General features: G+C 39.7%; 1 protein-coding gene and 1 pseudogene across 16 annotated transcripts in view; one reads left to right on the top strand and one right to left on the bottom strand.

Moving 5' to 3' along the window:
• TGFBR2 (transforming growth factor beta receptor 2) overlaps window positions 1–22170 on the top strand; it is an 87787-nt gene that overhangs the window by 17375 nt on the left and 48242 nt on the right. For 10 of the 16 annotated variants that reach the window (NM_001407129.1, NM_001407132.1, NM_001407126.1 and 7 more), the window contains one exon: window positions 21017–21185. The exons of 2 other annotated variants lie outside the window; for them this stretch is intronic. In NM_001407129.1, the coding sequence (NP_001394058.1) occupies window positions 21028–21185 (158 nt within the window). In that variant the 5' untranslated portion in view covers window positions 21017–21027. Of the gene's footprint in view, window positions 1–3539; window positions 3653–9013; window positions 9117–11009; window positions 11066–21016; window positions 21186–22170 lie in introns of all 16 variants that reach the window. 4 more of the 16 variants (NM_001407133.1, NM_001407135.1, NM_001407136.1 and 1 more) reach the window with 3 other exon arrangements.
• On the bottom strand, window positions 2693–3067 carry KLHL25P1 (KLHL25 pseudogene 1; annotated as a pseudogene).

Below are 22170 nucleotides of genomic sequence, written 5' to 3' on the forward strand. Positions count from 1 at the left end.
AATACGGGCATCTTTACATAGGAAGTGCACTTCTTCATCATATAGACATAGAGGTCAGGTATTATTATCTTTGGCTTCCTTTCTCAGAAATTCTTAAACATGAATGTCTGAATAAACATACAGAGAAGAGGTTGGGCGCTGTGGCTCATGCCTGTAATCCCAGCACTTTGTGAGGCCAAGGTAGGTGGATCACCTGAGGTCAAGAGTTCAAGACCAGCCTGACCAACATGGTGAAACCCTATCTCTACTAAAAAATACAAAAATTAGCTGGGCATGGTGGCGGGCGCCTGTAATCACAGCTACTCGGGAGGCTGAGGCAGGAGAATCGCTTGAACCCAGGAGGTGGAGGTTGCAGTGAGCCGAGATCATGCCATTGCACTCCAGCCTGGGCAACAGACCAAGATTCCATCTCAAAAAACAAACAAATAAACAAAATATAGAGAAGAACAGAACAAGAAGTGTTTTGAGTAGCAGAACACGACTCACACAGACATCTAATATTTAGTCAAATTGCTTTTATATAAAAGAAGGTATACATTGAAGAGCAACAGAGCCTACCTCTATGACTGACATTTTCAAAGAAAATGGCTAAGAATCACTTTGATGGCCAGGCACGGTGGCTCACACCTGTAATCCCGGATCTTTGGGAGGCCGAGGAGGGCAGATCACGAGGTTAAGAGATTGAGACCATCCTGGCCAACATGGTGAAACCCCGTCTCTACTAAAAATACAAAAATTAACTGGGCGTGGTGGCACGTGCCTCTAGTCCCAGCTATTCGGGAGGCTGAGGCAAGGGAATCACTTGAACCTGGGAGGCGGAGGTTGCAGTGAGCTGAGATCGTGCCACTGCACTCCAGCCTGGCGACAGAGCAAGACTCCGTCTCAAAGGAAAAAAAAAAAAGAATCACTTTGATTAGCAGAAACTATTTCACTTGCCATCATAGAAAGCTAAGCTATACTTCTGCTTTTCTACTACTAGCTTTATATAAATGTTATTTTTCTTGCAACATAAAAGAAAAATTGAGTCATATTGTTTTATTTAATTTTTCTTGAAGAACACATTAAATTAGCTCTCACACTGTGGTGTGGACTTCTTTCTGTTTTCCACCAGTGTTCTTCAGGGTGATTTTTCCAGTGGGCTTGATTAGGACTGTGTGGATCATTGTGATGCTTTGTTCTCAGTGGGGATTTTCCAGCAAAGATGAGCTTCATTAAACAATGACTGGGTTCATGGATTTATAATTGGAGTGATTTTCTTCAAACTGTAATAAATTTCAGTGTTACCTTTTTCTGAACGCCCTTTTTAAAAGGGATTCCATAGCAAGTCTTCTGGAATAATACCTTTTATATAATTCTTTAAAAACTGTAATTTTTACATACTGATTCCTGTTAAGGCAGATGTTATTGTATCAAGAAAAGACTCAAATTTTGAACATATTAAAAATAGTGTTTCTTCAGATCTGGTGGATAGGTGATGCTCAATATATATTTGTTTAATGGAATAAAAAAAGAAAAATATTAAAGATCCTAGGAAGAGAAATTAAGTTGCAGGGATATATTGCTTGTGTAACGTCTGTTTAGCATTGCAATTTTCTGAAGGGAAGGCTATCCACAACTGTTAATTCTGATCTAAGGAACTATTTCCCTTCTTAACTTCTTTGCTAGGTTATCTAAAGGGAGATATGCTTTCTCACATTTGTTTCCTTGAACTTACTTTTAATGTTGCCTTGTAGGGTCAAAACTTTAGAAATACAGCTTTCTCAGGAAACTTGGTCCTCAGATCTTTCAGACATTATCTTCCTTTAAGCTTATTGTCCTCTTGGGAATTGGCAAAGGATTCCCACCCTTTAAAAAGATAGGAAATTGTAAAATCCACACTTAAAAATTAATCTAAAATTATTTTTCAGGAAGAATTTATACAATGGCAACTAAATGCCCTGCAGCCAATTATGTTTATGATTCCTGCCTCATCTCCAAATGGTACTAGAGTTTGAGTCATATGAGAAAATTAATTGGGTTGGGCTTGATTGTACATGTATATGTATATAATAATGTTCTGGTTATAATGCAGTTTGCAGTTTTTCTAGTTACAGCTCAAGGCAAAGATGAGAAGCAACACCTATGGGCCTGACTGCCTCTGTCCAGTACTACCATGCCCCATCTCTAACTACTACATTTTTTCCTATTGAATTCTCCAGTCCATGTAGCATAAGTCCCTTCCTGAACTCAGTTTATTTTTCTAACCCTGGCTGCACGTTAGGATCACCTGCGAACTTCTAAAAGAATTCCAAAGCCTGAGCCAAGCACCTAGAAGTTCTGACTCATTGCCCTGGGGTAGGACTTTGGCATCATTATTGTTTTAAAAGATCCCCAGATGATTCCGATGTGGAACCATGTTGAGAAACACTAATCTAGCCTAACCCAGTGAGGTTACAAATGAAGAATTTCACCAGAGAGGTCAAAGTACTTGATTTCCCACAGCAAAGAAATTCCATTTACTGGGTTGAAAACTCCCATCTGTTGACTTTAAATCCAGCATAACAAATATGAGCAAGGTTTTAGAAGGTTTTGGAAACTCATCTGCAGAACAGAGCAAATACAGGCCTATCTAAAAGCATACCTCACAGTAAAGATGGTTAAAAACCAAAACCGGAGGAGGCAGAGTACTCTTGGTGGGGCTGGTAGTGGGGGGAATGGATGATTTTCCAAAAGAGAAAACACTTGACCTGGGTCTGAAAGGCTGGGTATGATTTAAGGCAGGCACTATTGTTCACTTGTTAGCCCCAGGGCCATGCTACTCCACTTCCTTCAAGGAAACAGAGGGAAGCCGGCAAGTGGCTGCCTGGGGTGTGTGTCCACACACCATATAGAGGCAGTTCTTCAGCTCTGTCAGCCATGGCCAAAGCAGGCAGTATTTGAACCACCTTGGACCACTCCTGAGGGGCAGCATCAGACACCAGGCATCCTTTCAGACACCATTCTTGGAGTCTCTTCCCTCCATCACGTAAACCTCACAGCCAACAGTGAAGGCACTGAACTCCTTCCAGGGGCTGAGCAGGCTGCCTTGGGCATGCTCTTCTTGACCTTAAAATCCACCTGATAGATCTGGTAGGGAGGTAGAAATTTTGGTGGTAGGAAAGCCAGCAATTATCAGGTCAAAGGGTTTCTGATAAAAGGAGTTATTCAGCAGAAAGGTAATCAGATTATGGGAGCCTTAAGTGCCAGTTTGGGCTAAATTCTCTGAGTCACTGGCAGATTGTAAGTAGGGGAATGACGTAATAAAACCACTGCAAAGCCAGGAGTTTGTGATGGGAAGATAGGAAATCCCTTTCTTTTTTTCCCACATGGGAAATAAAAATCTAAAGATGTGTGGGGAAGCTCCTTAGAGTGCCAGGACTTTCAGTATCCCCCAATTTATCATTAGGTTCTGTCCAGACCTCGTTCCGCACACAGTAGCCTAGAGACACCTCTGGAATAAGGTGTGACAAAAAACAAGGAAATAAATTTATTAATTTTGGAAAATGCCTTCTTTTTCCTAGGCCTCCCTCATAGACATTTTCCTGACAAGTCCCCACTTCAGGTTTCAGAAAGAGATGCACCATCGTTTGGAATTCTGAAGAAACTCAAGTTTCAATTGAGCTGAGTCTCAGTGGCATGTATTTTATTACATCTAATGCCATTTTAATGTACTTGAAACTGGGGAGATGAGGGCAATTGGTACACATGTGTAAACCACTACAAAAAGTTCACCTGAGTGTAGAAGGTAGCCAGTAGCCTAAAAACCCTGTATTTTGGAGGCTGTTACTTCATAATCTCTATTATGAAATTGGGAAAAATTATGTAATTATCTCTCTAAGATGGTCTTAGATCCACTGTTCAATAGAACTTTCTGCAGAGATGAAAATATCTTATACCTGGGCTGTGTTAAGGTTTAAGGACAGCACTGGTATAAGATATTTTCACCTTTGCAGGAAGTTCTATTGAACAGTGGGTCTGAGACCATCTTAGATGATACATGTGGCTTGAAACGTAGCAGGTGCAAATAAGGAACTGAATTTCAAATATAGATATATTTTTATTTCAGTTAACTTGAATTTAAATAGCCACAGGTGGCTCTTGGGTATCATAATGAATAGGGCAGTTATGGAGCATCATTAAAGTCCCCATTCTTCTCAAGTCCCAAAGAGGTCCGTTCAGGTAATTTCTTAGCACCTATAATCACAGTGGGACAGATTAAATTACTTGTACTTTTCCATTCCTGTGCTTTGGAATTATAGGCTGTTTCTTTGTCCTGGAAACCAGATAGTCTAATGTTTGTGGAAATACTACTTAGTAGTGCACTGCAATTATAATACTTTATTGTAGGAGGATGCAGCCAGGCCTTTTTTTTTTTTTTTTAATCATCTGTGTTTTTAGTTTTAATCTTAAAAGGATTATAAAAATAGTACTGCCTTGTGGGAGAAAAATATGCTTAAAGTCTATGAGCATGGAGTGGTAGGGATTATAAACCGTTACAAACTTCTCCTGGAAATTCTGGGGAAAGGGAAGTTAAAGCGGCCAATAGAAATCTCCTAGGAGAAAACTTGCCCTGAAGGGATGCTTTTAATTGGGTTCAGTATTTATCAGAAGAACCCTGCAAAAGTGGTTTCCCTGAAGGCATTTGGATTTTCCCCTGTGAATAAATTTCACCCACCTTGGTCACCTCTGTGCTGTATTCTCCTAGAAACTCACCTTTATTTGGCATGCTGTGACTTAAATCCTCCAAAAAAAAAAAAAAGCCTTTGAAAAAGCCTGTGGGTTTTTTTTTTTTTTTTTTTTTTTTTCTCTAAAATGTTAATTTCCTTTCTTTAGGCTTGTGTGGGCTTTGACTGGAAACTTAATCTGTGTGCCTGGGCTCTGCATTAGGTTTCAGTCATTGAAATGGGGCTTAATAAGAATTACTTGATACCTTAGGAGTCAGACGAGCCTTACATTTATCTTGGGCTCAGGGATTTGCATTTTGAGAGGTTGTGCCAGCTGACATGAGCCTTTACAGGTTTCAGCTTGTTGCAAACCTAGTTGGGTCCATTTCTCTCACTTCTGAGACCTTTTGCTGCTGCCACTCATAGCTAACGTGTTTTCCATGGAACACTACTCCTTGTCCCTAATTGTCTTCTCTCCCTACCTCAGCAGTGACACTACAGACAGCCAGTCATTTAATACGAGACTCATTCCTTAAGAAGTTGGGATAGAACTTTAATTACACAAGGCATCCAAGCCAGCAGTCAGGGCCCTTTCCAATGCGATTACTTTTCAAGCTCTGCCCTGCTTCTCCTTCCATTTCCCTCTGGGCCTTCGTTTTCAGATCTCCTCAGAAGCCGAGGAACGCAGGTCCTTTTGAATTTCTTTAGATCAGTGTTGTCCTATAGGACTTTCTGCAATGATGAAAGTATCCTGTCTATTCCTGGCCACATGTGGCTATTAAGCACTTGAAAATGGCTGGTCTGACTTGGAACTGAATGTATGATTTCATTTAACTTTAGTTAATTTAAATTTATAAATCCATGTGTCCTCATGGCTACTGTGTAGCTCTATCTAGATTATGCCCTTGACTTTTGAACAATGTGTCTTGGGAGAGTTCTCTTGGCTCTGGCCCTCCACTTTCATGAACCAGCTCCTCCCAGTGGGGAAAGAAGAACTCTCTTTGACTTCAGAACTGACTTCCTTTTATTGCTAAGTTAGACAGGCTAGGCCTTGAGCTTAAAACTCTTCACCAACTGTTTATACCCTCCATACCTGGCCTCAACATGTCCTTTTTTCTCTGTGACTATATCCTTATTCTTTATCCAGCAACAGCAAATATGCATTAATTTTCTGCAGATAAGGTTTCCTTTGGAACTTAAGGAAGAGGTATGAAACTTGGCTTTGGAGGACTTAGGGATAGGAAAGCCATCACCAAGTGTTTATAGAGTACCAACCACCGTGTGCCAGCCAATGTTTGAGATTTGGGGAATACAGAGTGAATTAAAGTCCATGTGTACAAGCTAATAAACAAGATTCTATCAACATGTCAGCAGATAAGTACAGCGCGAGGGTCTGAGAACAATGGTAGATGCTTGTAATTTTAGAAGCGGTTGTCAAGAATGGCATCTTTGATAATGTGATATTTGAGCAGTAATTGGTATGAAATCGGGATGAAGAAGGCAGATCTCTGGGTTAAGCGCATTCTAGTTGGAGGGAACAGCAAGTACAGTGTCCTAAAAACAGACTGTGCTTGTCATTTCCTCCCCTCCTCCCCCATGGTTTCTCATTTTTGCTTCTCTTTCTAAGAGTTACATTTATAGGCATACATTTTTACACTGGACATCACAAGAAATTGAGCGAGTTCACAACTCCACTGGTGCTGGTAAAAAGATTATGCTAAGATGGATAAAAGACTATGAAACATAGTCAAAATGCACTTCTCAGTCACCTCTGGCCATACGATTTTACACATCTGGGTTCTCACCCCAGAATGAGATAGGTTTAATAGATAAGATTCAGTGTGGGGCAAATCTAAGGTGCCAAAGTTAGGTACATACTAGAACTTCCATAAAGAGTTGTCTTAAGAAATAGAAAGCATTATAATTTGACTTTGTAGCCAAAGGTCATTCAAAACATTTCAAAGTTTAGATCACTTATTCCAGTTTTATCTCTAGTACTAAATGTTATTTCAGCACACAAATGTGGTCATTCCCCATGGATGGAAGGAGCCAGCTGTGTTCCAGAACTATGTTGGAAGATTGCACCTTGAAGACTGTGTGCATGGTTCTCATTTTCCATCTTAAAATCACTGCTGGAATCTATCTTGACTTTTCCACAGCCCATTGACAACTGTCATTATGTAAATACTGTCCTTTTTTCTCACCAACTACTGTGGCTGATGTCTCCCCTCCAAAATTTATGTTGAAACTTAATCCCCATTGTGGTGGTATCAAGAGACGGAGATTTGGGGGAAGTGATTAAGTCATGAGTGGATTAGTCCCACATAAAAGGGCTGGAGGTAACCAGCCTGGATCCTTTTGCCCTTCCATTTTCTGCTATGTGATGACACAGTACTGGTCCTCTCTAGAGGACACAGCAACAAAGCACCATCTTGGAAGCAGGAAAGGGGGCTCTTACGAGACATCAGAACTGCCAGTGCCTTGATTTTGGACTTGTCAGCCTCTAGAACTGTGAAAAATTTCTGTCCTTTATAAATCACCCAGTCTCACATATTTTGTATGGCAGCCAAACAGACTAAGTTACCAACCTTAGTGGGATTGCTAGGACTTGGAAAGGAGTAGCCTTTTTTTTTTTTTTTTTTTTTTAAATACAGAGTCTTGCTCTGTCGTAAGGCTGGAATGTAGTGGCACAGTCTTGGCCATCTGCAACCTCTGTCTCCTGGGTTCAAGTGATTCTCCTGCCTCAGCCTCCTGAGTAGCTGGGACTACAGGCACGCACCATCAAGCCCTAGCTAATTTTTGTATTTTTAGTAGAGACGGGGTTTCGCCATATTGGCCAGGATGGTCTTGATTTCTTGACCTCGTGATTCACCCACCTCGGCCTACCAGAGTGCTGGGATTACAGGCGTGAGCCACCGTGCCAGGCCGGGAGTAGATATTTTAATCACAGGAGGTAGCATCAGAAAAGTTGCAGCTACTCACCACAAGAGAGACCTTTATGATGTTTACTGCAAATTGCATCAAGGTCATGACAGCAATGAGTAATGCCCAGGAAAGGCGAAGATCAACCTTACACTTTTTCATCTAACTGCACTGTGAGAAAACAAGCAAAATTGCCCAGTTTAAGGGCAGATTCTCAGATTTTGTTTCAAATTTCCTGCCCTTTGTTGTCCTTTCTAGAAGCCTTAACAATACTTGCAACTTCTTTCTTTTTTTTTTTTTTTTTTTTTTACTTCCTCTGCTTGAAAAACATGAAGGGGGAAGTTTCAAAGTGTTTGGTGTTATCTTAGAAACCAAAGTGAATCTGAATGTGTCTTTCTGTCCTTTTTGTGTCATTTTTCAAAATGAAAGGGACCTTTAAGTTCATCATGTCCAACCCATTTGTTTGACTGGTTGGAGAACAGGCACAGAGAGTGGTTGGGTAATTGCCCTTGAACTCAAAGCCCCCTCATGGTCGATTCAGAGCCTTCTCCACTGCAACCTGCTGCCATTCCCAGCATGGTGAATTCTCCTCCAGTAGAAGTCATATAGCAATGTTTTATAATTAACTTTTACGTGAGCAAATGAGCTCCAGGAGAGAAGATTAAGGAATATTGCTTTCCATATATCTGGATGGCCCAGAACACTTTTTAACTAGGTACTTAAAAATCTACTACAATTGTTGTTGCCCATATTCTTCTGTAATTCTTTCATCAGCTGTGAATGAAAGTACAGCAGTTTTATTTCCTTGAAAAGTAAGCCAAACATGATTTTATTTCAATATTTTAGAATTCCACAATCTTAAGACACATCATTGCCTTCCCATCTCTGCATGTCAAACTTACTAATTTTATTAGCATGTTGCGAAATAACACACTAAGTGTCTCAAAGCCAAAGTAGATCAGCTCTCGCCTGATAAATGTGCAGGAGTAAGCAGAGGATTTGAAAATTGAACTGGATTCTCAAGTTACTGCCTGTTTGCCAGACCTATGCTGGTTATGAACAATATTTCAAAACCAGATTATTTGGTTCTAGATCCTAAACACTCTTGGCAACTTTATTGTAACGATGATTGATTCCATTGTATATTTGAAAGCATCAGGGCACAGTGGTAACAAAAAATTATTATATTTCAATTTGTCTATTCATTCAAATTTCCTGAAAGGTTTTTTAGAAGTCATCAAACTGCTACATTCTATTGATGAGTAGGAATAGATTTACCAAACTCATACTTATCTTGTCATTTGTTTCCTGCAATTTTCTTTGGTGTGAGAGAGCATTGCATGGAATGTTACCTTTCTAGCAAGTGAATGCTTGTGTGGCATTTTTTACTGTCTAGAGGATTTTCACAGGTACTTCAAGCATGTTTGCTCTTCATCATGATCCTACATGGGACGATTTCATAAATCAGGAAATGGAGGTTTCAAGAAGTTAAGTGGCCCACAGCTAATACATGTAAGAGCCTGAATTCACACTCAAGTTTTTACCTTAAAACTCTTGGGCTTCACCAAGCTGACCTTATTATATATGTCTCCTAAAATAAGTGAAGTAATTACAAAGAACCAAAGCTTTTGTCTAAGAAACTTATTGCTTCCCCACCCCTTGTATACTTTCTTCAACTCCTAGTAGTCACACCTGTGTCTTTGCCTTGTACTGGAATGTGTGTAAAGTTCTACTCTTAAACTTTTTGATGGAATATCTATTTCATTGTGGAGTATCAGGAAGGATGAGGGCTTGTGTGTCACCATTGGCTTTGTCTTTTATTTGCTTTCTCTCATTGATATGATATGATAAGTTATTTCATCTCTTTGACCCTTAATTTCTCCATCTATAAAATGTTAATGACAAAATTGCATGGTGGTTGTGATAAGTAAATGAAATAATCATCACAGTACTTAATACTGGACTAAGCATTTGGTCTGCATTCGATAAATCATGATCATGGTAATAATAATTATTAACATCACATAGATCTGATTTCTAAAGTAGATGTCCTCTGGCCTTGAACTGAAATGTGATTATACACATTAGAGAATTACATGCATGTTAAAAATATTCATATTAGAGAGTTAAATCATGACTTTTTGCATTCTAGTTAAACCCTAATATTAGAAGAGAGAATTGAATGTGCAGGTGAAATAATCATTAATTGTAAACATTCAGGTGGCCACAGGGGCCTGGCAGGGGAGTAGGTGACATGAAGGAGTGTCAGGGAGGAGGCAAATTTGAGGACACAGAGACTTTCTCAAGAGGAGCATCTCAGCTCACAGTCAGCTGACTGTTGTCTTGGGATGGTGTGGGCCCACTGTTTCCAAGTCTTTTTTATTTCTTTAAGTGGAATTAGAAAACCAGTTTTGCATGTGAAATCTCTGAATTTTAAAACTTGGTTTATATTTTAAAAAGAAAAGAGTTCAGGCCAAACAGAACACATCTGTGCTCTGTGTCCAGCTCTTGTACCCACTGTAGCAATTTCTGCTTTAGCTTCTCAGTCTGTGCCCAAGTTATTTGGTTGTTAGAAACCAAGCGCCTTGGACCTCGTTATATTACTTTTTAAAGGGATGCCTTTCCCAAATATGGTAGTACTCTGGCCCTTTTCCAGAGAAAATATGGAAATCATCTGTTTTGACCAATATTTTCACATGTTTAATAAAACTGTAATTGAAAAACCTTTCAGGTACCAGGCATGCACAAGAACCCCGCAGCATATTTTGAAAAACTGAAGCAAAAGCCTCCACGGAGAAATTTATCAGTGAAAATTCTGCTCTCACAGAACATTGATATTCGGACCAAATCCCATGCTTAGTTGAGGCAAATGGTTCATTTCAGGGGCTGATTTTTCAGATTCTCTAATAGTCACTATCTTTTAAAAATCTGTTCTTACCAGATTTTGTGTTAGTTTCTGCATTTTCCATTAAGCTGCCTCAGTACTTTGAGATAAAGAATTGTTTAAATCCTAAATGAATAACTTAATTAAAAAGCACATCTTCATTTAGACCATCCTTATTTCCAAAGCTCTTTTGATGAAAATCATTTCGTGCATTTTTAAAAATTCCCTAGAAGAACTTAAAGATCTTGAGGAAAGGACCATGTCTTATCCTGTCCCCCTTCCCTCAAGGGTTTAAATATGAGGGCTGTCAGAAAGCAGCACATTTTCGTTTAGGTTGACTAATTTTGCTGGTAAGTAACAAATTACTTTAGTTGAATTGGAATGTTGTAAAACTCCGTCAGTCGTGTATCATTATCTTGCCTCTATCAGTCTGTGCCATTTACCAATGTTTTGACCATCACCAAGAGAGTTATTTAATCATCTTTTATTTTCAATAATAAATTATTTCCTTGTTGCTACAGCACTCCAAGTCCTGTCAACTGAGGGAGAATTGTTTTCTCAGTTGCTGTCACTTTAGGTAAAGTACCAACTTTAAAGCACTTCTCAGCAGAGGCATAAAGTTATTATTTTGAGAGTTCATGAAATAGTGCTCCATTCTACTCTTTCACTTGATCTAATATACCATTTGCATTTATATGGCTTAACTTTTTTAACTGGCTTCCTGTTCTTCTCAGCCCCAAACCCTACATTCTGGTTTTTGACTCATCTCATAGTCCCTGCAGTCAGTCTTTGCCAGATAAAGGCACTGTTAAAGTGAGCTTTATCAATGAAAAACTTAAGAATTTCATGTATTGATGACAGTATTTACTATAAACTGCTTGCTTCTCCCCAGCTTTCAGAAATTTGTTTTATTCACTGGGTCCTATTAGAGCTGAAAGAGCATGATTGAGAAAGTTACAATTGTTTCAGCTTTTTGAATATGGCACAAGTGCTAGAATTCTGAAATACTGCCTTTGGCAACAATGTGTAGATATTTCCACCTGCAAGAGTCATTTTAAATGTTTAGATTTTGTCTCCTGTTATGTGGCCTGTATCTCAGAGAGGTCCCCTGCCACTAAAAACAAAAACAAACAAAAAACAGAAAAATAAATGAAAATTCAGCAAGCGTTGGGGGGACTCAAATTGTACTTCATTCTTCAATGATACAAGAAAGCAAGAAAACCAAGTATGCATTTTTAGGATTTATTTGGGGTCATTGGGGCTGGTAAGTGTTAAATAGGAAAGGATGCAATTGAAATTCCAGCTCAGTTATTTTATGTTTGTCACTGGAGAAAGCCAATTATTTTTCCGTTCAGCTACAGCTTGTTTCATTCCGTAGAAGACTAAAAAAACTTCCTTGTAAATTGCATTTAAAAAAATTTGAGTTTAAAGGTACAGCCAAGATTTCAATTTAAAGTACCTCATTGGATGAATTCATTTGAGACACAAGTAATCATTCCTTAATCCCTTAATTTGTTTGGTAAATACAAATTTATGTTTATGCAGTTTTCTTAAAGCAATCATAGCAAACTACTAAATTCATGAGCCAAAATGCTAGTGAAACTCAAACCTACAAAGCTAAATTCCCTCAGTTGAACAAGTCCAAATGAGGAAATCACACACATAAATGCATAAACACACACACTCACACACACACTTCCCGTATCAGCTCTGTCTCCATTTCTGACCTCATGTTTGCATTTAAAGGCAAGTAACTGATTCACATGAGGTTGCCGTTGTTAATGTTGCCTCTCAAACTAGAATATAAGCCATAGGAGGGTAGGGACCAACCTGGTGTTTGTTTTAGATGTCTTGTTGTGTGGAGAGTATCCCAGACATTTGATATCCTTAATTGTTGGCCAGATGGTAGGTAGTTTCAGTGTGAAAATATATATGTATGTGTGTGTGTGTGTGTGTGTGTGTGTGTGTGTGTGTGTGTGTGTATAGTACTGGGATTACAGGCGTGAGCCACCGCACCCGGCCCGTACTAGGTATTTTACTAGAATTATTTCCTGCTCTAAGAGATTTTAGAGTATTGATTATGTCATTCTTGACAGGTTTTAAAAACTATATTAGTATTACAAAAACATGTGCATGAAAAGGAAAATTGATGCTTTTGAGCTTATCTCTTTATTTTCTGCCCACATGGTGGTCTCCCTATTAGGTATTGTTTCTCCACTTCTGATCCTGGTGCCCAGAGGCTATGTGGGGCTGTCACTTGAATGAAAGCTGCATGCATCTGCCATGACAGAATCTGCCTTGCATTTGCTCATTTATAATGAAAACATTTTTTAAGTACAGAAAAATAATAGAAAATTCAAAAGTAACAGAAGGGTATGAAATAAAAAGTTGCTTCTCAACCTCAGTTTTCTACCTATTTATTTTCCTTTTACAGGGCCAAATAATGTTTGATTCTCATGTCCTTGCATCTACTCCCAGAGACCGTCTAAATATATAAGCATGCATGTGTGTGCACGTGTGTGTGTGTGTGTGTGTGTGTGTATTCCCTTTAAAAAGCAGTAACAGGCCAGGCGTGGTGGCTCAAGCCTGTAATCCCAGCACTTTGGGAGGCCAAGGTGGGCAGATCACGAGGTCAGGAGATCGAGACCATCCTGGCTAACACGGTGAAACCCCGTCTCTACTAAAAATACAAAAAATTAGCCAAGCGTGGTGTTGGGCACCTGTAGTCCCAGCTGCTCGGGAGGCTGAGGCAGGAGAATGGCGTGAACCTGGGAGGCAGAGCTTATAGTGAGCCGAGATCGCGCCACTGCACTCCAGCCTGGGTGACAGAGCAAGACTCTGTCTGAAAAAAAAAAAAAAAAGCAATAAAAGCAATAACAACAAAACAGAAATGGTGGTGTGTCAACCAGGGTTCCAGTTGCAAGCAGATGGCACCCTCAAATTAGGGAGATTTAAGGAGAGTTTAGTAAAACAAGTACTTACAAAGGTATGGATAGAGTCAAGGGAAACCACCACAAAATGGGAGAAACCATAGTGCAGATACTTAGGACTAGTAATTGCTATGTTGACTTGCTAGGCCCAAAGTGGCAAGGAGAGGGAAGAAGTAAATCTTGGAAATGACCTCCTGAAGAGAACCTGTGACCTCCAAGTGAGGGACTTGGCCAGCTGGAAAAGATTCCACAGAGGGAGCCAGAACACAGATACCTTAAATGTGCTCCTCATTGCTTCCCTTAGATACCGCTGGGTCACCCCATTGGCCAAACTTACTGGAAGCTTGAGGGCAAGAGAGCCGGTTGATGTAGTCCATAAAGATGAGCCTCCTGGGGCAGACAGTCTGGTGACCAAGGGTGGAGAACTGATCTCTAAGGGCAATAGAAGACACCCAGCCCAAGTAACTCTATACATTGGTCTCTACCTTGCTTATTTTCTTGAATGCTATAGCCTGGGCTTCAACACTTATAAAGATAGCCACATGGAGCTGCCCTCTGCTTTTTAGTCGTTGCGTTGTGTTCCTTGTTTGGATTTGTCTAATTTATTTTACTAGTCTTCTCTTGATGAGTGGTTAAAAAAAAAACCTGTTTGTCCTTACAAACAACACTGCAGCGAATTTATCAATGAATATCATAAATTTTTAGAAGCGAAAGTGCGAGGCAAAAGGCTATTTGCGTTTGCAGTGTTGATTGATATCAATAACATGTACTCCTGAGATGTTATACCTGTTTACAACACAGCATTATGAGAATGTTTGTTTCCCCATACTTTACCCAGCTCACTGTGTTATCTGACTTATTGATCTTTTTCAAAATGAGTTAGGTGAAATATGGTATGCATTTTTAATCTGCATTTCACTTGTTAGCAATGAGGTTGACATGCTTCGCTTTTAGAGCTTATTCTCTGGTGATATGATCAGGAAGTAATATTTAAAGTAGCGTTTTTTTAACACAATATAGAGAACTCATATGATTTGTTATTTGTTTCCAATAAGCATTGATAATGATTTTAAATGGCATTAATTCTTCTGGCACTTGTAGAATACTTACTATTTAAAAGCAAGAATTATAAGGCATTGTCATTTCACAGAGATTTTAGAGTATTCACTTTGTCATCTCTGAAAGGTTTTAAAGTATTATTACTACAAAAATATTTGCATAAGAAGGAGAATTGATGCCTTCAGGTCACTTGTCTCTGTTTTCTTCCTGCACACGCCATAGTCTCCCTGTTAGCTAAATGATGGTATCTCTAGTATTGACCTTGGTACCCCAGAGACCATGTGGACTGTCAGTTGAAGGAAAGCCCGATACCTCTCTTCTCTCAAGGTATAATTAGATAAAGCATTAGGGTTCAAACACATTTTTAAAAACTAAAAAGAAGGTATTGTATTAGAAGTTCCAATTAGAGTGTGCAATAGATGTTCAGCAAAAAGAACTATTCCTAAAATGTTCCTATCTTTGGTTTAATCACAAGGTGTTTGTTTGGTTGGTTGGTTGGTTGTAGTAATTGGCCAAGGTATCTGATTGGCTTGGGGATGTCTTTCCTGAAGAATTATACAGGGAATCCTCTCAGATTGCTTGACTTTCTTCTTTGTTCTGGGTGGGAGGAAGTGTGTGACTAGCCAATAGCCTTGTCCCACCTTGTCTCAAGGGTCGGAGCTGCTGTTGCTAGCATCACAGGCCACAGCGGCTTTCTGCCAGATGGCTGCCTCAGTATCTGACTCGGAAATGCTGCAGGCAATTAAAAACCTCCTTTCAGAGAACATGTCTTTCAATTCTGGGCCCATATGGTGATCAGGGCCTCTGGGTTTGCAATCATTTAAGAGGTCAGGCTCAAGAGAAAAGCATATGGAAAGAACTGGAAGATGAGAAATGCCTGTAAAAAGGTGAAGAATAGGTATTTAATTTCACTAACTCCAAAATGACTGGAGAAAGGGAAACAATTATTAAAAACTGGGTTCTCCACAGCCTTCCCACTCAACATATAGTGGGCTGGCATCACCCAGGGCAGCAGCTCCCTTCCTATCTGTAAGGTCAGTTTCGTGTGTACTTGGCTAGGTTCTGGTGCCCACTAATCTCATTGTTGCTGTGAAGGTATGTTGTAGATGTGATTAACAGCTAAAATCATTTGACTTTAAGTAAAAGAAATCATTCTCTATAATGTGAGTGGGCCTCATCCAATCAACTGAACAGCCTTAAGAGCAAAAGCTGAGGTTTCTGAGAGAAAAAATACTGCCTCAAAACTGCAGCATTGATTTCTGCCTGAGTTCCCAGGCTGCCAGTCTGCCCTATAAATTTCAGACTTGCCAGCCCCCACAATACCACTATGCTACACCTGCAGGTTAAAAATATTCCCAAAGTACTTGTGTATTAATATTTGAGAAGCAGTACTCTAAAACAGTAAATTCTATCCACCAGTTTCCATGGATTATTCTTTGAGATGTTATTTAATTGTGTCAATTTCAGTGGTCTTACTATGAATATATAACACTAATCAAGACATCCACAGGTATTTGTAGAACAAATAAATTTCTGAGTTTCCCCCCACAAAAAACACTCCAGAAAACAACAGTCGGTAGATACATGAATTCAATGATACACGAATGCATGAATTCAGTGATACATGAATGCATTTCTGACAAGTGTTTATGGTTATTGTTAAACCTTGAGATTTTACCTAATGGTTCAGCTAATAATAGACACTATTTCAAAGATTTGGACTAAGGTCATATTCAGAATTTCTAATATTTATCTGAAATAAGTCTAAATCTTATTAGGCTGCTCATCTGACCCTCAAAGACAATAGTACAGTTCCAGAAATAGACACAGCTAAGCAGTCAATTCATATTCTCAAGACCTGGAACCTCTGTCTGTAGGCAGTGAGTGTGGGGAAAATGTGAGATAAAATGGGGAAGGTGGTATGACCTAGAGTGAAGGTTTTGATATTACTCATGGGCTTATTTGAAGAGAAGTGAAATATTATGGGCCATGTGATACTATCATATGCTGAGAGATGCTACCCATGTTCACTTCCTTTAGTGGATGGCTTTCTAGGTGACAGATATTCTTATTGGAACTTCTTTCTGGAGAACTTTATGAATAACGAATTTGCCTATTAGGGGTAGAAAATTCTCTAAAGATGGTTAGCTGCTCACAGAGAGTCTATAGGAATCGAAGTACAGTCATCTCTTGGTACCCATGGGGGATTGGTTCCAAGACTCCTCGAGGAGACCAAAATCTACAGATGTTTAACTCCCTTATATAAAATTGTGTAATATTTACATATAACCTACACACATCCTCCCATATCCTTTAAATCATCTCTAGATTACTTATACATAATACAATGTAAATTCTATGTAAATAGTTGTTATACTGTGTTGCTTAGGGAATAATGACAAGAAAAAAGTCTGTACATAATTCAGTACAGCCACAATCATCAATTTTTTTAAAAAAATATTTTGCATCCACGGTTGATGGAAACCGCAGATGTGGAACCCACAGATACAGAAGGCTGACTATATACTGCCTTAATATAAGAATATCTTAACTAGAGAGACTTAGACTAATATAACAATCTGGATTAAAAGTAATGTTGAAGTTGGGTTAGGGTTTGCTATAGGGTTAATTAGGTGGGTTTTGTATCGTTGTTTAGAGGAATATCTTTATTCCTAGCTATGCACATGTATGCACTTACTTTCCTTCCCATTCCTTTGGCTTTTTAAACATTATGTATTAAACGTAAGGAGATGTTGTTTGATATCTGAGGTCGTGGCTGGTAACATCTTTTCCTGTGGTTTGGAGTGCACAGATGCAATGTCCCATACAGCAAATGACTGTTACCCTTCCCTCCCACTGGCCCTCATCCCACTCTGACCAGCAGTATACCACTTAGCATGTTATTAGTGACTCTTGAGGATTCCGGGGTTGGCTTGGGATGCCTTAACTGGATCTTACGGGCCTCAGAGAATCTGCAAACCTTCTCAGATGATCTACAAATTTTGTATTTGTTTCTTTTCCCCAACTCCAAAGTGTGTTCATAAGGCTTTTATCAAACTTAGGTGACTCCAGCAAAGGTTTAGAGTAGCTTTGCCCTCTGAACTTAACTACCTATTCCACCAGTACATATGGTATGCATAAAAGGACCTGAGGACCTATATCATATAGAGGAAAAGAATACTGGTTTAAAACAAAGGTTGGAATGTATATGACCTCAAGGGCTACCTGGAATTGTTAAGGTGGGGAGTCTCCTAGGGTCAACTAATAGGGAGTCGATGGCTGGTGCTGAACATGTCCTGCATACAGGCTTTTGAAAAAAAATTCTGGTTAAGCTCTTGCAGTGGTAGCTTCTGCTGTAACAAGGAGAAAAATGTGGCATCCCTGGCTGGGTTCTTGTGAAGTAATATGCTGTATCTTAGGCAACTTTCCTCATATACAGTGGGTGCTCAGCATGTGCAAATTCTTATTGTACACTGCCCTTCCCACCATATGCCTGTGTCTATATGCAGTACAGTTGCTTGTTTGGCTTTTCTTCAACATTCAATGGAAAGGCTTTCTCTTGTTGGGTCTACCCATCAAGTAACATGTATTATATCTCGCCAGGGGCCCCGTTACAGTGGTGCTCCTGGAGCTGTGCAAATTGGTGGACCTTCTCTCTCTTTCTCTCTCCTCCCCCTCCCTCCTTGTTTCCCTTCCTCCCTTCCTTCCTCTCTCTCTCCCTACATCCTTCTTCCCTTTCTCTCCCTTTCTTTCTTCTAATGGTCCTTTTTTCTTTTCCCTGTTGATTGTGTTCTGCAAGCATCGGACTTAAACCACTTGCATTTGTCAATACATCTGTGGCCACCACTGCTCCCAGCACCCATCTCATCTGTTTTCATTTCTGTCTTATCTATCGCTGCTCACTCCTGTCACTATTCTCACGTTTCTAAGGTTTTGCTAGAAAAGGACTGGCCAGCACGGAGAAGAATTTCTATCTGAGGTGTGAAAGAGCTAATCACCTCTCCTTAGGTGCATGTTTTTCACAAGGGAACTAATTCCAGCTATATCCAGGTGCTGTCCCCTCAGCAGCATAAGTTGTATATGTGTTTGTGGTGGTGGGGTGGGAGTGGGGGGGTTGCTGTTTTGTTTTCTGTTTATTGTGTTTTTTCCAACTAACTATAGGTCTGGGTTCTCAACCTTGGTTCCACATTAGAATCATCTGGGCAGCTTCTAAAAATCCTGATGCCTCAGTTACCTTCCAGAAAAATTAAATCAGACTATCTGGGAGTGGGACCCCTTCAGTATTTTTTAAATTTCCTCAGGTGATGGATTTCAACATGCTCTCCAAGTTGATAACCACCAATCTAAGCTAAAATCCTAAGATGTTGGAAGACTGAATTTCAAGTAATGGAAATTTGGTTTTATATTTACAAACAACAAACCTTCCTAATCAGCAAATAGATGCTTGTCCAAAACATACTCTATACAAAAAATACGTATGTATGAAATAAACAAAACGTGGTTTCACTTTTTTTTTGCTTTAAACAATGTTAAAGAAACCTAAAGTGTTATTAGTTGTTTCAAAAATTGATCCAAGTATAACCATGTTAGAAAAAAATACATATTAATTGTTGTGTTTCTCCCAAATTTCACACAGTTCAGAGAGTATTTCTGCCTATATTTTTAGCTAAGCATAGAGCTCTTGGTCTGGGAGACACTGAGAATTTCAAAATAGCTTGTTACCTAAAAATAAACTTCCTGAAATGAACTTGAGGCCCGAGAGGGATGAATGGCTTTATTTTTTTCTTCTATATTTACTGTTACCACAAGAAAGCAAATCTTAAATTTATATACGTTTATATTTTTAGAGACCCAGGAAACAGGTGCTATGCCCAAGCTACAAAGACAGTTGCAGGGCAAAGTATCTATGACAGAATCCTAAAATTCACAGGACAGAGAGTGACTGTGGAAAGGCATTGAAAGTGTTCCTCTCTAGGCAAGAGCGGAGGGAACATGAGGCTTTTCTTAGGCCTCTCTAAGGGTTATGCCTTGGAAAAGTACCTCACAACTTTCTGTGGCCCAGCAACTGTTCCAGCACCCCATGCGGTCTAAGTGCTTAATGTTTCTTAGTCTAGCATGTAAGTATTAATTCATGTTTGCTGGTTGAGTGCCTAGTAGCCTTGTCATACTTCACTGACTGTCCAAACTCATGTCTTAAACATCATCACCATCTCATTGAGGAAGAAAATGGGGAATGGGGTGTTACACCTTTATTTGAACTGCCCCTAGTTTGCAGCCTGTATTTTGCAAAGAATAGTCTGTCTTCCATATTTTATTGAATAAATGTGAATGAATATCACATTTATAATCACATTCCTCTCTAATCTGAGTGAAGAAGTTCTGTATCCTATCCTACATGGCATCAAGGGCCAAACATGGACTCCTTGTATTCATCCTGTGTTCACTCATTTATCCAATAAACATTTTTGTATGCCTGCTATGTGAAAGGTTCTCTTCCTGGCACTGGAGATATAGTAGGTAAGTGAGGTGGAGAAAGTTTCATGGAGCTTACATTTTTGTGGATAGATTATTAGCAAGTATGCGATGCAGATAGTTTGTGCAGACAATAAATAAAACAGAGTTGCTATAGGATGAAGAGGTGGCATTTGATCAGAGATCAGAAAAGTGACAGGAAGCTAAACAAAGGTAATAGCAAGTGAAAGGCCTGAGGAGGGAATGAACTTGGCTTCTTCCCAGAAGGGGGCAGGAGATTGGTGATGGTGGTGATAAGGGAGAGGTACAGAAGGCAGATCCTGAGGTGGATTCAGCTTTTATTTGCTGCGATCATAACTCCAATGCCTCACCAATGCTTGGGATTGTGTCTAGGAGGCACTCAGTAAGTGTTAGTTAATCAATTGATTTGCCTCAAACACAGAGAGAGATCAGTAGAACTAGTCCCTTGAAAAGAAGACCCTTATAGCTCTTTCAGGAGTAGGTCAGGAAAATGGCGGCAAAATCTTGTGCCTCCAGCAACGGTTCCTCCTTTGGTGTGGCACTTCATGACTCTGTGAGGTTATAGCCTCCCTGCCCAGCTGAGCGGTGATGCTCGCCTGGCTCCCACATCCTCTGTGCTGCCCTCTATTTTGGGTCACCCTGACTTGGTCTGTTTCCTGTCTTATTCACCAGCTAAACTATAATTTCCTTAAGGGTACTTTTATTTGTGGGCCCAGCACTCCGTACTATGCAGTGGGCCCATCTAGGTTTCTTTATTGAATGATAAGATTTTTGTAGAAAGTGGACCTTATGACAACCATTGACAAAAGCAAATGGCTACTCAACCACCCCAACCCCTCACCACCCCTCACCACGGTACAATGGATTTTATTACAAATTGCATACACCAGATAATTCTAATCTGATGTGAAGGAATTATTTTGCCTTTCTTCAGATTCATTCTCATGACATCAAGTTCATTTGAAATTGCATAACATCTTCAGGAATTCATTGGCAGGCTGCCTGGCAGTTGGATAATCATTTAATATATCTTTCTCTCTCCTCAGTTAATAACGACATGATAGTCACTGACAACAACGGTGCAGTCAAGTTTCCACAACTGTGTAAATTTTGTGATGTGAGATTTTCCACCTGTGACAACCAGAAATCCTGCATGAGCAACTGCAGCATCACCTCCATCTGTGAGAAGCCACAGGAAGTCTGTGTGGCTGTATGGTAAGCAAGCCTTTTAAGAAGTTATTCTTTCTTTTCCCCTTTTTACATAATGTATTCTCATAGTACACACAGTCAGTGTATCTCTGTCTCCTAAATGTAAACACCTGTTCCATTTCCCTTTCCTTTAGACCATCTCTCTTTCGATTATTAAATGTAGTTTCTAGGGGTGTTCTCTGCATGTATGTGTACGTTTATGTGGGTATATAAACGTATCATGATTATAAAATGATCATGATAAATGTAAAGATCATAAAATGATCTTTAATATAATAAATCTGGAAACTCTTTCTTGTATCAAGAAGAGGGATTTGCCGCTTAGTAGTCATTTAACCGACACCTCCTCAGCACCCCATAGTGAGACCAGGAGCTTTGTTCTCTTGAGGCAATCTCAGGTCTGGAAGAAGAGGTGATGAAAGGTTGGCTGTTGGAAGAGAAAACTACCAGCCAAAAATGGGGAATCTACTTGGAGAACCACAAAAACAACCTGTTTTTTTAGTCAGAAATTCTGGTTATATTATTCATATAACCATTGGGATAGATATGACTTCTTTCTCTCAGCTCAGAACTACATATTTCTTTTTTTTTTTTGAGATGGAGTCTTGCTCTGTCATTCAGGCTAGAGTGCCATGGCACAATCTTGGCTCACCGCAACCTCCACCTCCCAGGTTCAAGCGTTTCTCTTGTCTCAGCCTTTCGAGTAGCTGGGATTACAGGTGCCCACTACCACACCTGGCTAAGTTTTGTATTTTTAGTAGAGACGGGGTTTCACCATGTTGGCCAGGCTGGTCTCGAACTCCCGACCTCAGGTGATCCACTCGCCTCTGCCTCCCAAAGTGCTGGAATTACAGGCATGAGCCACCATGCCCGACCAGAACTATATATTTTTATCGGATCACATTTTCTCCTCTCTCTCTCTCTCTCTCTCTCATTCCCTCCAACTCATACATACATCTCAAATAATAATTATACATACACAGTGGATACT

The sequence above is a fragment of the Homo sapiens genome, chromosome 3 (genome assembly GCF_000001405.40).
Source record: "Homo sapiens chromosome 3, GRCh38.p14 Primary Assembly".
Lineage (NCBI taxonomy): Eukaryota > Metazoa > Chordata > Mammalia > Primates > Hominidae > Homo > Homo sapiens.